Here is a 15,236-nt window from a genome sequence, read left to right on the forward strand (position 1 = left end):
GTATAAGATCATGTCATCTACAAACAGGGACAATTTGACTTCCTCCTTTCCAATTGGGATGCCCTTTATTTCTTTCTCTTGCCCAATTGCTCTGGCTTGCCATCATGTCTTACTGCAGTATCAGGCCCACTACAAGACTGGTCATGGTCTACCATAGGTTGAACCTTGAAATCGGCCAAAACACAGATACACTGAACATCACCAGAGCAATAAGTATTTCTCTCATGGAATATTTTGTGATATTAATCAATGATATCACAAGATATCCCACCTGATATTGTCCTAATTTAAGTTCCTTACACCCAGTGTATCTCATCTTTATGCCTTGGGGAAGAGGTGATGCCACAGAGTGCAAAGAACAAAAATATTAAATAATTAGTATTTGAGTTTTAAAAGCCAATGTTCCAGCCTAGAATAACAGAATCTGAAAACAGATAATAAGTTTAGTTTTTGGTCTGCAATTCGTTAATGCTATATAATTTTTAAATTAAAAAGTTATTTTAGGCTAGGAACTTGGTTGTTGAAATGCAAAAGTGGGCTATTTGACATTCTTGTCCTCTGCATTCCATCCCTGAGGCTTGAAGGTGACAATGGGATCAATCACAGCATGGCTTTTGCATGACATGATGAAAAATAAACTCACATTGTAAAAGGCATAATTTAGGATCTTTTTTTTTTTTTTACTGTCCTCAAATATTTACTTCTGAGTGCTCAGGGGATGTTTTTATCATCATCATTGTTATTATTATTCAGAACATTTTTCCCTGCCACTTTCAAGTCTGTAGCTTTTTCAGAAGCCTAAAGTTCTAAAAGGCTGGATTTTAAGTGGTTGCTCTTTCTTTGAATGAGTATATTTAATAGTCATTAAAAATCAGTCTCTGGGAGGTTGAGGTAGGAGGATCACTTGAGCCCGGGAGGCGAAGGGTGCAGTGAGCACTCCAGCTTAGGTGACAGAGTGAGAACTTGTTTAAAAAAAAAAATCAGTTTCATGAAGAATTTTTAATGACTTGAGGAAATTAATGCTATGATATTAAGTAGAAAGAAGTGCAGTCATAAGCCACCTAATGACGTTCCAGTCAATGACGGAACAGATATATGGAGGTGGTCCCTTTGGCTGTAATAGAAATGAAAAGTTCTTATTGCCTAGTGACGTTGTAGCTGTCATAACATCGTAGTGCAAAGTATTACTCATGTGTTTGTGGTGATGCTGGTGTAAATAAACCTACTGCACTGCTAGTTGTATAGAAGTATTACATATACAATTATGTAGAGTACATAATACTTGATAATGATAATAAAGAACTATGTACTGGTTTATATGTTTACTAAACTATACTTTATTATTTTAGAGTATGCTCCTTCTACTTATTAAAAAAAAAAAAAGTTAACTATAAAACGGCTTTAGGTAGGTCCTGAGGCAGAAGGTATTCCAGAAGAAGGCCTTGTTAAAAGAGATGGCTGCTTCATGTGTGTTATTACCACTGAAAACTTTTCAGTGGGACAAGATCTGGAGGTGGAAGACAGAGATATTGATGATCCTGATTCCGTGTAAGCCTAAGCTAATGCGTTTGTATTCTAGTTTTTAACAAGAAAATTTTAAAAGTAAAAATTAAAAAATAAAAAAATTAAATAGAATAAAGCTAATAGAATAAGGATATAAATAAAGAAAATATTTTTGGACAACCGTACAATGTGTGTGTTTTATGCTGTGTTATTACAAGAGTCAAAACTTTTTTTTAAGTTTTTATGGTAAGCTAAGGTCAATTTATTATTGAAGAAAGAAAAATATTTTTATAAACTTAGTGCAGCTGAAGTATACAGTGTTTATAAAGTCTATAGTAGTGTACAAGAACATCCTTTGCCTTCATATTCACTCACCACTCACTCACTGAATTACCTAGATCCACTTTCAGTCCTGCAAGCTGCATTCATGGTAAGTGCCCTGTAAATGTGTACCCTTTTTTATCTTGTATGCCATATATTACTGTACCTTTTCTATGTTTAAATATATTTAGATGCACAAATACTTATCATCGTGTTACAATTGCCTACATCATCCAATATAGTAACATGCTATACAGGTTTGTTGCCTAGAAGCAATAGGCTATACCATATAGCCTAGGCATGTAGTTGGCTATACCATCTAAGTTTGTGAAGGTACACTCTATGATGTTCACACAAAATTGCCTAACAATGCATTTCTTAGAATGTACTTCATCATTAAGTGATGAATAACTGTATATAAAACCATATATTTTTATGATAATGATCTCATCTATGTAAAATAAAATAGAAAAAATTGATAGAAATATACCAAAATATTTTTCTCTGAGTGGTTTAAAAAATGAAAACTTCTGTGTCTTCACACATTTCCCTAGTTTATATATTTTCTGCAAGACAAATGCTACAATAAGAGCAGTAGTTTTATTACTTCCTGTATCATATTTACAGATTTGCTTATACAAATTTCATGAAATCTTTTGTCTGTTTCCCTGATTCCCAGCATGCATAGACCCCAGCTTCTCTCAAGTGACACCTCCAACAGGTAGCTCATCTGTGCCCCCAGGTTTGGGCTCTCATTGCCGCCATGGGTCAGAATTTAAGGCACCTTCACTCCATAGATGAAGATTGTATTGGATCAATTTTGCTCAATTTCTCATTTTAGCCTTGTGACTCATTTCCAACTGCTGAGTCTCTGGCCAGAGTCAGGGTTCCATAAACTTCTGTTAGACCCATCCAAATTTGTATCTTCACAAATAATCTGCATACTGATGACTGGTTCTCATTCATTGGCTACTAGCTGAATTTTCTGCATCAGAACCGCTAGTCTCCAAGAATATTACTTGTGCCTCATGCACTGATATCCCTATGGTTTATCTCGACCCTGCTATCCATAGATTCAGTGCAACCTACCATTGCTCCTTCTAGAGATCCATTGCCTCCTTAACTCTTCGTCTTAACAAAAGCATTGCCTTTTATTTAATTATCCCAAGTATTTGCATTTTTGAGCCTTTTAAATGTAACAGTAGACTAAAAGACATTGTGTGTCTTAATGGAAGCTATTTCTAGAAATTGAGCCCAGATACTGGATGACCCTCTAAACATTTTACCTAAAGGTAGCCCTGAAGTGAAAACTGCTTTAGTGGTAAAGGTAAGAGATTTTCCAAAGCAAAGCCAGGCTTCTCAGCCTTTTCTTTATCTCCCAGGCTCCAGAGATACAGGAGCCAAAGTTGAAATAGGGTTTTCACTGGTTTTCTTCCTCGTGAATACCCCCAACCATGTTCTCTATGCAGTTTCTCCACTCCCAGTATACTGAGGCCCATGAATCCTACAGGATACCATTGCAGCACCAGTCACTGTGCAGACTACCCACCTCTACTACCATCCCCCTCTCGGGCCAGAATCACTGCTGTTTCAAACTCTCACTCTAGGCATGACTATATGGACAGAAAAATGAAAAGCAACTGGCAAGGAACATCTGATGGACAGAGATAGCAAGGAGATTATTGATGAGGCTCATGGAGGCAGAGAACCTCAGTGAGAGATGGGACTGGGTCAAGGGGGTGGGGACAGAAACTGTTACCCATGAAAACCAAGTCTTAGGAGAAAAGAAGGAAACCCTACTAAATACATCATTTAGGGTTGTTTACCATTTATGACTAATTAGTCTGAGCACAAAATCAATTCTGAATACCAACTTCAGACTAAAAAACTATCCTTCCAAGTTACCTTAAAGTTCATCTAGGAGGCCGGGCGTGGTGGCTCACGCCTGTAATCCCAGCACTTTGGGAGACGGAGGTGGGTGGATCACGAGGTCAGGAGATCAAGACCATCCTGGCTAACACGGTGAAACCCCGTCTCTAGTAAAAATACAAAAAATTAGCCGGGCGTGGTGGCGGGCGCCTGTAGTCCCAGCTACTCGGGAGGCTGAGGCAGGAGAATGGCGTGAACCTGGGAGGCAGAACTTGGAGTGAGCTGAGATCACGCCACTGCACTCCAGCCTGGGTGACAGAGCAAGACTCCGTCTCAAAAAAAAAAAGTTTCATCTAGGAACAAGAAGAATGAGAATCTTTCAGGTTTCTTTGCTTCAAAAATTATTGCACTGTTAAAGTGAGGTTCTTGACAAATCAAGAAATGGTTCTTGAACTTTAACATGTATGGAGAGTTTATCAGGTGGTAGAGCATGTTGTTAGATACTTTGATGCACTTTATTTCTCTTATCCCGTACATTAGGCCTGTAACACTAAAGCCCTCACCTTTTCTATTGTTAAAAAAATGTAAAAAAAAAAAAAAAAAACTTAAGGCAAATTAAATTTAACAGAGTTTATTTGAGCAAAGAATGATTCATGAATCAGGCAGCATTCAGAACCAGGAGAGGTTCAGAGAGTTCCACCCAGCAGCATGAACAATAAGCTTTTATAGGCTGAACACTGAAGAAAGTATATAAATCATCTGATTGACTACAGCTAGACAGTTGCCTCATTTGGGCATGGTGTGATGAGTCTTTTGACTTATTGGAGCATGGTCTGATCAGTTGCAGCCTATGATTGGGTGAAGCTCAACTGTTTGTTACAAAAGTGTGCTCCTAAATTAAGTGTTTATTTATTTAAGTACTAAGTTATATTGCAGTGTATTACATAAAAACTTAAAGAATGGAGATATTCTCAGGGCAATGGCCTCCTACTTATTTAATCTGACACCATCTCCTAGAAATTACACAGTAATTACGCCATGGACTCCCATATTAGTCATGTCCAACCCTGATGTCACCACTTATAAGCTAAGTGACCACAGGAGTTACTTAAGTTCTGTCTGCCTCAATTTTCTCATCTGTAAATGGAGGTAATAACTGATTCAACCTCAAAATGTTGGTACCCGCCACTTGGGAAATTCCTAATAAATTACCTCACATGTTTTAAAATTTTGTAATTTTAGAAGTTCATGTTGTTCAAGTTAGAGGGTAAATTAGTCATAATGATTTGTCACATAAAGATTCAACAGTTATTTATTGCCTGCTATTTGCCAAAGACTGCAAGGCACTGTGAAGACAACAGTGAACTAAACAGATAAAAATCCCTGTCCTCATCTGGGTAGGGCTGGGGGAGGACAGGGCAGACATAAGCAAGTAAAACATGTAAGTTATTATTTGGTGAAAAGTATTAAAGAGAAAAAAGGACAGGCTTGTAGGGATTGAGGGCTAGGTGTGCAGGCTGCTATTTTAAATATAATAACATTACTTACCCCTTACACAATTTTGTTAATTATTAGTGAGATATTAAGTTTATGATTTTAATTAAAACCATGAATTAGTCTTTCCTAAGTCAACGAGGTTATCTGCTCACAAATTAAAAACATCTACACAAATTTTTGTAGCTATTTATATTTAATGAAAAAGTTTATCAGCATTTCTCACATACTTTCAATGAGAGCACTCTGACCACTTAAAGATCACAAGTAAGCATAAAGTGTCTCATTTTAGAAGTTCTATCGTAATGATAGAAGTACTATTTAAACTCATAGAAGATGAAGGAGTAGGAAACCATGCCTTCAGACTTAGCAAAGATCCTCATTTCTTTCTTCAATCACCTAGTCTGCATTTGCAAATATTGCAACATACATTTCAGACAAAGTTTTCAATTGTACCCTTTGATACAAAATTTCACAATGCAAAATGGTTGCAAAATTCCTCCAACATATAACAATACAATATTTACTTTACTCTCAAAGACTTGGCTTCGAAAGCAGGTTAGTGCAAACCACAGGCACCAGAACATTAATAGGAAAGAGTCTAGAGAGTGGACCTCAGTGCAGATCTGCAGTATCATCAAGAAAGCAGGCTTGTGTGCCCATTGCCTGCCTAGTGAGTGGGAAGTAAACTGCTTTGGGAGCTTCTTTCAAGATTCCTATTTAAAAGGTCATTATTAAGGAAAAGAGAGTCTGCCGTAGGAATTTTGAAGATATGCTATTGTATTAGTATGTTTTCATGCTGCTGATAAAGACATACCTGAAACCGGGAAGAAAAAGAGGTTTAATGGACTTACAGTTCCACGTGGCTGGGGAGACCTCACAATCATGGCGGAAGGCAAGGAGGACCAAGTCACATCTTACACGGATGGCAGCAGGCAAAAAGAGAGTTTGGGCAGGGAAACTCCCCCTTTTCAAAACCATCAGATCTCATGAGACTTATGCGCTATCATGAGAACAGCATGGGAAAGACCCGCCCCCATGATTCAATTACCTCCCACCAGGTGCCTCCCACAACACATGGGAATTCAAGATGAGATTTGGCTGTGCGGACACAGACAAACCATATCAGCTATTTAAATTTTTACATAATGTATCAAAGTTTAATTCCCTTGTTTTGAAATATACATGTAATTCAAAATGGTTCTGATTGCTTCTGCCTTTGACACAGAATCATAGCCATTTTGAAACAGACATGAGGCATGTTCTCTTAACTTAATGAGTATTTACTACTCACTGGAGAATGGTTTATAAGCATTATCTTGTTCCATTCTCTTAAGACTCAATAAAATAATTGTTAGCATATCCATTTACAGTTGAGAAAACTGAAGCACAAAGAGGTTTAAAAAGTTTCTCAGGTACACACAGATAGGAGGTAGCAGAATTGGAAATGAAACCTAAGTTTATGTGACCCTAAAGTTCATAACCTTAACCTTAATATTAAGCTGCTATTAGCCAGATGATGTTTTAAATGAGTCATTAGTATTCTTTTCTTTTTAGGAGGCTGGAATATCTCATTCGAATGGTCCTGCTCCTTTTAAGGAGGAAATTTATTTTATGTATAACTATGACTTCGAAGTTTAGAATAACCCCTACCACCACAAAAAATAAAAACAAAAACCAATGATCAAACACAGAGGAGAAACAATCCCCGAACTACAGGAAATTGCATTCTAAGGGTTGCTATAACTAAACATCTCTCGGTTTTGGAATGTGAATAAAGCTTTCAGGGGTAATGGCAATATTTTAAGTCTATTATTATCCATCGTAATAATAACACTTCTTAAATAAATATTTAATAATAAGCTTAGATTCCTAGAGTCACTGGCACATCTCTTGTTCTCTTCCTATAATCTGGTTTCTAATCTTTCTCTTCAATTTTTAACCTTCTACAGCTGCACTGTCCAGTAGGGTAGCCACTAGTCACATGTGGCAGCTAAGCATTTGACAGGTTGCTAGTACGAATTGGGACACCCTGTAAGTGTAAGCTATCTCAATTGTTAATATCGATTACATATTTAATGATATTTTGATACATTGGGTTAAATAAAATGTTTTTAATTTTATTTAATTTACATTGTATTAGGTTATTCCCAGAATACATGAGATCTACTGCCTATATTTCAAAGGAGTTACTAAAACAGAGATCTAAGACTGAGTAGGTCTTGGTTAGTATGCTAAGCTTTGGTTTTTGGGGAACTAAAATTGTCCCTATGAGCTCGAATTGGGGCTTTCTTATTTACCTAAAAACATATCATTAGGTCAATCAGTTTAATCAGGCTATTCTTCCCTGATCACTAGAATTCTGAAAAGTTAACCCTAACTAAATCCCTTTAATATGTGTGAAAAACTAGACTTCAGTTGTCCTTTCTAATCATGAAGACCACTGTGTTGACAGGATTATTGAGCACTGTGTCTTTGAATCTTCTCCCTGGGAGAACCCTGACAGTAGAAGACCATTAAGAGTTAAGTGGAGGTGATGCCCATCTCTGGATGCGGGCTTTGAGTTTTGAGCTTTGAGCTTTGCAGGAGCTCAAATTTTCTTCGTATCTCCAGTTTTGGTTTTAAATTCATGCAAACTTAGGATTTTACTCTATAACATTTTTTAATATAAAAATCAATTAAAAATTAACACTGGATCCACCAACTTCCAGACTTCTTTAAGTGAGCTCAGGTTTGTGTTAAGATATTTTCAGTTTGTTATTTTAATTCTTAGTCAAGAACTTCTCAATTGATATACCATAACAGAAGCAAGAAGAATATAAAATGTTAACAACAAAAGATGAAGCCTAACACCTTGGATGTTCTGGATGTTCCAAAAATGTTCATGGATGATGAATATAACTATCAAATGAGTAAAGTTTTAATGTCAAAAATATCCCCAAAAAAGTCTATCTATTTTTCTGGGAGCTTATTTCACTAACAAATGCAGGATGTGTCCCAATTAAACCTCAGGAGCACATGGCCTTTATTTACCAGTAAAGTTTGTCCCAGATATTAAACGGTCTTGCTCAACTACAGTTTACTGTCCACAGCCAAGACAGCTATATGTTCCCATAGCATATGTAGTGCAGATGACACAGCTAGTGTAGGCATTTTTCTGCTTTTCTAGTTGCTTTTATATCTGCCCTGAATTCTTACTGTAATATTCACTCCAAAACTTGCTCAATTGATTTCAAGAGGATTTCTCAATAGCTGGTATACCCCAAGCCACTTACTTCGAGTTACAAGAAAACTATGTTCTCATCCTAACCCCACCTGCCTCTTAAACCTCTACTTCTGTCTCTTCCTCTGGGAACTGAATAGTCAGGGATTCCCAGGGGAACAAGAGAGCCTGGAAATGGGTCTCAAGAGACCCAGTTGTGAGAGCTGTGTTAAGATAGCTGGCCTGTGGTCCCCAGGACAAGCACTGGCCTCATCAGGAGTGAATACTCTTATCTAGAAGGACAGGTACACATTGTTTTCCTCTTCCAAGACTTGAGTTGCTGGACACCAACTCAAACTCTGGACACTTCATTCTCTTCAGATCTTACTGCAACACTTGGAAATTTCAACATGGCAGTCTACCAGATCTAATTCTATACCAACACACTGTGTAAAGATCAGTTCTTCCCCTTCTTAAAACATTTTCGTGGCTAACGCATGTAATCCCAGCACTTTGGGAGGCTGAGGCAGGCAGATCACGAGGTCAGGAGATCGAGACCATCCTGGCTAACATGGTGAAACCCCGTCTCTACTAAAAATACAAAAAATTAGCCGGGCGTGGTGGCGGGCGCCTGTAGTCCCAGCTACTCGGGAGGCTGAGTTGAGGCAGGAGAACGGCCTGAACCCGGGAGGCAGAGCTTGCAGTGAGCCGAGACGGCACCACTGCACTCCAGCCTGGGCGACAGAGAGAGACTCTGCCTCAAAAAAAAAAAAAAAATTTTGCTGCCTTTCCATTTTCCTTAGAACAATCTCTGAAATCCCTAAAGTTGATGTGGTGTACAAGGACTTCCTCAGCCCACCTGGTCACCCTCTCCCTCTCTGACCTTCTTCTCTTACATCACCCTCCAACCAGCCAGACTCCTTCTGGTCCTTCCCTCCCCCCGTGAGCCTTTCCCATAAATCTCCACTGCCTGGAAAGCCCACCCCCCTCCCCAGCAGATTCATCCCACCCATCCCTCACATCATTTCCCCAGGGGCACCTTTTCCAACCCCAAAGACTAAGTTGTTTCTTCATTGTATGGTCTCAGGGCTCCTTGCATGCTCTTTTTGCCTACAGTTGCCACACTTATAATTATTTTATTGTCTTATATAACTTTTTGATTATTTATTTAAAGGATTTATTTCACCCTAGATTGTAAATCCCCTGAGATTAGAGAAGGTTTCACTGCTGATTCCTTGAACAACAATTTTGGCTGATAGGTTCAACCATGTGAAATGGCCGATAGACCAACATCTTGACCTTAAAAAAAGTCAGTTTTAGGCTGTGTGCAATGGCTCATGCCTGTAATCCCAGCACTTTTGGAGGCAGAGGCAGGTGGATAACTTAAGCTGAGGAATTCGAGACCAGCTTGGGCAACATAGCAAGACCCTGTCTCTAGAAAAAACAGAAAACATTAGCAAGGCATGGTGGTGCATGCCTGTGGTCATAGCTACTTGGGAGGCTGAAACAGGAGGATTACTTGAGCCCAGGAAATCAAGGCTACAGTGAGCTGTGATCATCCCACTGTACTCCAGCCTGGGTGGCAGAGTGAGAGACCCTGTCTCAAAAAAAAAAAAAAAAGTTAATTTTATATGATCCAATTCAATAACCATTCAATACATATTTATCAAATAAATACATTAATAAACCATACATTGTGGTTTTAGGTGGTGTGTGTGTGTGTGTGTGTGTGTGTATAATCAGCTACTAATGTAAATTTTTACTTTTAAAAGAAACTCCTTAAGTTCTGCTAACTTTTTAAATGTATTTCATTGGGTTTCATAGATATTTCTCAAAGTTAAACACAACAACAAATTCCAAAAATGGTCCCTACTAGAAATACAAGTTTGGCAATTTCCCTCACCTCCTTTGATCTTAGGTTAATTTTCTATTCTCCTGAGTTTTCTTCATTCTTCTGTGAAATTAAATTCAGCCGCCTGTCGAGCTCTCTGGATCCCTTGCAGGTGAGTTCTGCATGACTTCCTTCTGACCTGTGGAAGGAGGAACAAGGAATATTTCCAAATTTTGCACTGCCACCCCCTTCCCTCCCTGAGCGTTAGGCTAGACAGTAGTGGCCAGAAGCCCTTCTTGCTTCTCTCCTCCTGAAATTGATTCAGCCATTTAAGACTATGACTGTTCTCCCACACAGAAACTCCTCTCCAGAAATGCTTGGCCCAAACTCCCCTAACATTTGTAACTTCGTATAACTCTTTTGGTTCAAGTGCAACAAAAAATGAGTGGTACGGTGATGCCAATTTTGAGGTATCATAGTTAAGCCATGCTAAGTCACTTTAAAAACATTCCATTTTATTCCTCCCACAAAGTCACCCCCTCAGAGACTCTGGATGAGGGGAATACTGAGGGAGGAAAACATCCAGAAGAACAGAAAAAGGCAGTGATGTGGGACTTGAAAAATACTGCACAGAATTCTGTCTTCACCCCAAAGGCTGATTATTATAAATTAAACAGTTTGCCCACCTCAAGCAAGCATTCAACAGGCACATCCTATGTGCCAGTACTGTGATAACCAGCACCTTAGAGGCACTGGCATCCTGGCTTATGAAGCCCAAGGAAGGTAAAGAAGAGATGATTTTCCAGGCATGGTGGCTCACGCCTGTAATCTCAGCACTTTGGAAGGCTAAGGCAGCAGGATCACTTGAGCCCAGTAGTTCAAAGCCAGCCTGGCCAACATGGCAAAACCTCATCTGAACAGAATATTTAAAAAACTAGTCTGTCATGGTGGGTGCATGCTTGTAGTCCTAGCTACTTGGGAAGCTTAGGTGGGAGGAACGTTTGAGTCCAAGAGGTTGAGACTGCAGTGAGCCATGATCGCACCACTGGACTCCAGTCTGGGTGACAGAGGGAGACCATGTATCAAAAAAATAAAAATAAAAAATTTAAATAAGAAGAGATGATTTGATGATACAGAGAAAAATAGGAATGATCTAAAAGAAAGCAACTGAAATGGCTTGCTGCTCAAACTTAAAGCCTTTGCTAAATGCCCATGCTTTGGAGCACTAGAGAATGCCTGCTTTAAATATAGGACAAGAGAGGTGCTGTGCATCATGAAATAAAATGATGCCTAACGGCTAACTGGAAGAAAACAAAGATGAAGGAAGAACAAGTGGTCTAAGAAGAAAGGAGCAAGTCCTTCAGAAAGAAGGTTCTTGAAAACATCACATCCTGTCCCTCATCCCACCTCAGGAGCTGCTTGCGATCCAGGACGCCTGAAACCCTGCCTTTCCAGGGAGATTAGGGTAGAAAGCTCTCCCAGTAACAATCTGCTGATTTGAATTTCTGATGAATAGCAGCTCTGTGGAATTTATCAACATAGCCAGACCAGAGCCACTCTCCAAGGGACAAAGAGCCAGCATCGCCTGAGAGGAGAAGCTTTCTCTCCTTCACCCAGACTCAGCACTTGGTCTGTACCTGGCAAAAACAGGAAACAACAGCAATAATAGGAAAAGGAGAGTGTGCACGCACAACAGTCACAGTAATCCTGCCTTGGAAGGCCAACCAGATCGCTCAAGATCCCCACTCCTTTAATCCTTAATGCTCAATTCAGTGAGCACAATTATGAAATCTGTTTTACAGACGAGGAAACTGACGCTTGATTGATTGAGCCAGAGGTAAAACCCAGATGTGTCTGACACTACATCTCCAAATCTCTATATAGCCAAACATTGCATCTGAAATTCATGGCTTCCTTACTCTCTTAAATCATTTCCAAGTTAATTGATTCTATAGTCTATAGACCTGAAAGTAATTAATCATGGAAATGTTGAGGAATAAACTAGTTTTTCATATACTGCCTTTCTACTCATCATCCCTTTTGCTGACAGTCTGCTGCAATGAAAACATGACACCAAGGATCTATTTACTTTATTTTTAAACAGCTTTATTGTGATATAATTCATATACCATACAGTTCACCTATTTAAAGCGTGCTATTCAGAGGCTTTTAGTATATTTACAGTTGTGCAACCAGCACTGCTATCGAATTCCAGAGCATTTTCATCACCCAAAAAAAAAGAAACCCCGACCCATTAACAGCCGCTCCTCATTCCCCCTCCCGACAGTCCCTGGTAACCACTAATCTACTTTGTCTTTACTGCCAACTCTGGACATTTCATATAAATGAATCATACAATATGTGGTCTTTTGTGTCTGGCTTCTTTACTTAGCACAATGTCTTCAGGGTTTATCCAGGTTGTAGCGTGTGTCAGTACTTCATTCCATTTTATTTCTGAATAATACTCTATTATATGAATATGCCACATTTTCTTCACCCACTTAGCAGTTGACAAACATTTGGATTGTTCTCACTTTTTGACTATAATAAATAATATTGCTAATAACATTAGATCCATTCACTTTTAATTCATCAGACTTTCCTTTTACCCTAAGGGTTACTGTGAGCTCCCATAAGTCTGTAACAAATTGCTAGAAGCAAAAAAGGCTAAAATCCCTGGGCAAAAGAGCCATATGTGTGTCATATGTAGAAACTCTGCCCAGTTTACCAACAACTTTCCCATTTTTAGCCTTAAAGTCCTGGGAAAACTTTGTCCCAGGAAAAATGGAACAGTTGATCATCCTAGACTGGAATTTAGCTCAGAAGACAATTCTAGAAAGTCTATTTCCTGGGATGTTTTTTGGTTTCTGGTAAAGGTATGGTTATATTTAAAGAAACTGACTTATGCAGTAACCATCATTTTCCATACTTTCATTTAACAGGAAACAATTATTTTTAATTTTTAGTGAACAATGCCTAACATTTTCATATATACTCATTTTAGAGTTACAATCGATGAGGCTATTTGCCTTGCATATTTTTTAAGTGGAATACTAGTTACATATTCAAAGGCCTTGTTGGGACCGGGCACAGTGCCTCACACCTGTAATTCCAACATTTGGGAGGCTGGGGTGGGTGGATCGCTTGAGCCCAAGAATTTCAGACCAGTCCAGCCAACACGGCAAAACCCCCATCTCTACAAAAAATACAAAAATTAGCTGGGGTTGTGGCACGGGCCTGTAGCCCCAGCTTCTTGGGAGGCTGAGATGACAGGATCACTTGAGCCCAGAAGGCAGAGTTTGCACTAAGCAGAGATGGCACCACTTCACTCCAGCCTGGGTGACGGAAGCAAGACCCTGTCTCAAAGAAAGAAAAAAAAAATGAAAAAAAGCCTTGCTAGAAGCTGAAAAACTTATGTCCACAGGGTGGCGGTGTAACACTCTACAAACTCGGAATTGAAGTAAAAGCTAAATTAACCAAACTTCATCTTTTATTTGAACTATGCGATTTTATGGGAAAATGGGTAAGACCAACCAACTACTTGTGAAACCAGTTGCTTTATTTTATATTGATAAACAGCCACTTATGGCTAACTATTGATATATCTGAACCACAGGGTAAAGACAAGAAATACAAATTGGATGCCTTTTTCGGAGCTTGTTTTTAAAAATGCTTTTGACAGAATTATAGAATCATAGAAACCTTAGAAATCACACAACTCAGTATTTTCAGACATTTTCTCACCAAAAAAAAACAAAAAAAAAAACACAGGTCATGTTTTCTAGTGCTATATATGCCTGTGACATTTAATAGAATGCAACTTCACCTCTTTCCCTTCACTTAAGAAAGAATATTGAAATTCACATGAGTGACTTTAAGGGGCATTATAAGGGTAATCTCAAATCTTTATTTTTAAATTAACTACTCCCTGGCTTCAATCCTTGATTTTTAGAAATAAATTACTTGTATATGGTTTCCGGTCAATCCCAACACATGAGTGTGTGAAAGTCCTTAAAGTGAGGAAGTATGATCGTAGCACAACCTCTCATCAAATGCTGGACCCACTCTGACAGCATCCTTAGCAGATATCTACCCTCAGGGAAATGGACACGAAAACAATGACCTTTAATGTGCATTGGCTCCATTAGCATAAACCCAGTGTTTGCAAGCCTGACATTTATTTTGCATATTTTTTTCTTCTAGATTCTTTTTTCCTTTCTTCTAGACTCCTTTTTCCCTCCTGGGGAAATGTATACCTTTTCTAGCAAACAGCAACAGACTTGGAATTTAGAAGTTATTTTAGTTTGTTCATGTGATTAAAGGTAAGGGAAAATGTATGCACCAGCCACTTACATGATTAAAAAACAACACTGAAATATCTGAGAAAAACAGCTTCTCTGTTATGGTTTGTAACTGGCACCCCAGGCCAGCTTTCACCTTCTGTTAATAATGAGGCACTATAGGCTCAACAGCTGAGCAAAGATAATTTAGCAAAAGAAAGATAAACACAAACTAAATTTGAACTCAGTGATATATATTTGTATTTTCTAACCTTTCTGTGTCAAATCATGATGTCCATGGAATAAAAAGCAATTTGATCTCTCAGGGCTATTTCTGCTGTTATCTGTTTTCTTCTAGGAGTCTTCAGTTCAATCTTAGTGGTGTTTCTTTCAGCCACGTTGATTCAGACATTTATGATGGCATTGCTGATATGCAAACATGTAGGCAAACATGTAGGCAATGAAAATCTAATCTAGGAGAGACTAAGATAGCACATGTTTAAATTATCTACCCTGTTCTATGAACTTTTGTTTTGACAATCTAAATGCCTACTTCTGTGACTCTTCTAAACAAAACTACTGGATAATAACAATTAGATTGATCTGAGTTGTTTTCATTTGTTTTTAATATTAACAAGTGCCCTCCAGGACTGCAATACTTTTGCTGCAGAGGATCTTTGAGGCATAAAATATATACCTAGGAGTGTGAAAACTCCCGTATTAGTCTGAGTTAAAT

This window comes from Homo sapiens, chromosome 6 (genome assembly GCF_000001405.40).
Source record: "Homo sapiens chromosome 6, GRCh38.p14 Primary Assembly".
Taxonomy (NCBI): domain Eukaryota; kingdom Metazoa; phylum Chordata; class Mammalia; order Primates; family Hominidae; genus Homo; species Homo sapiens.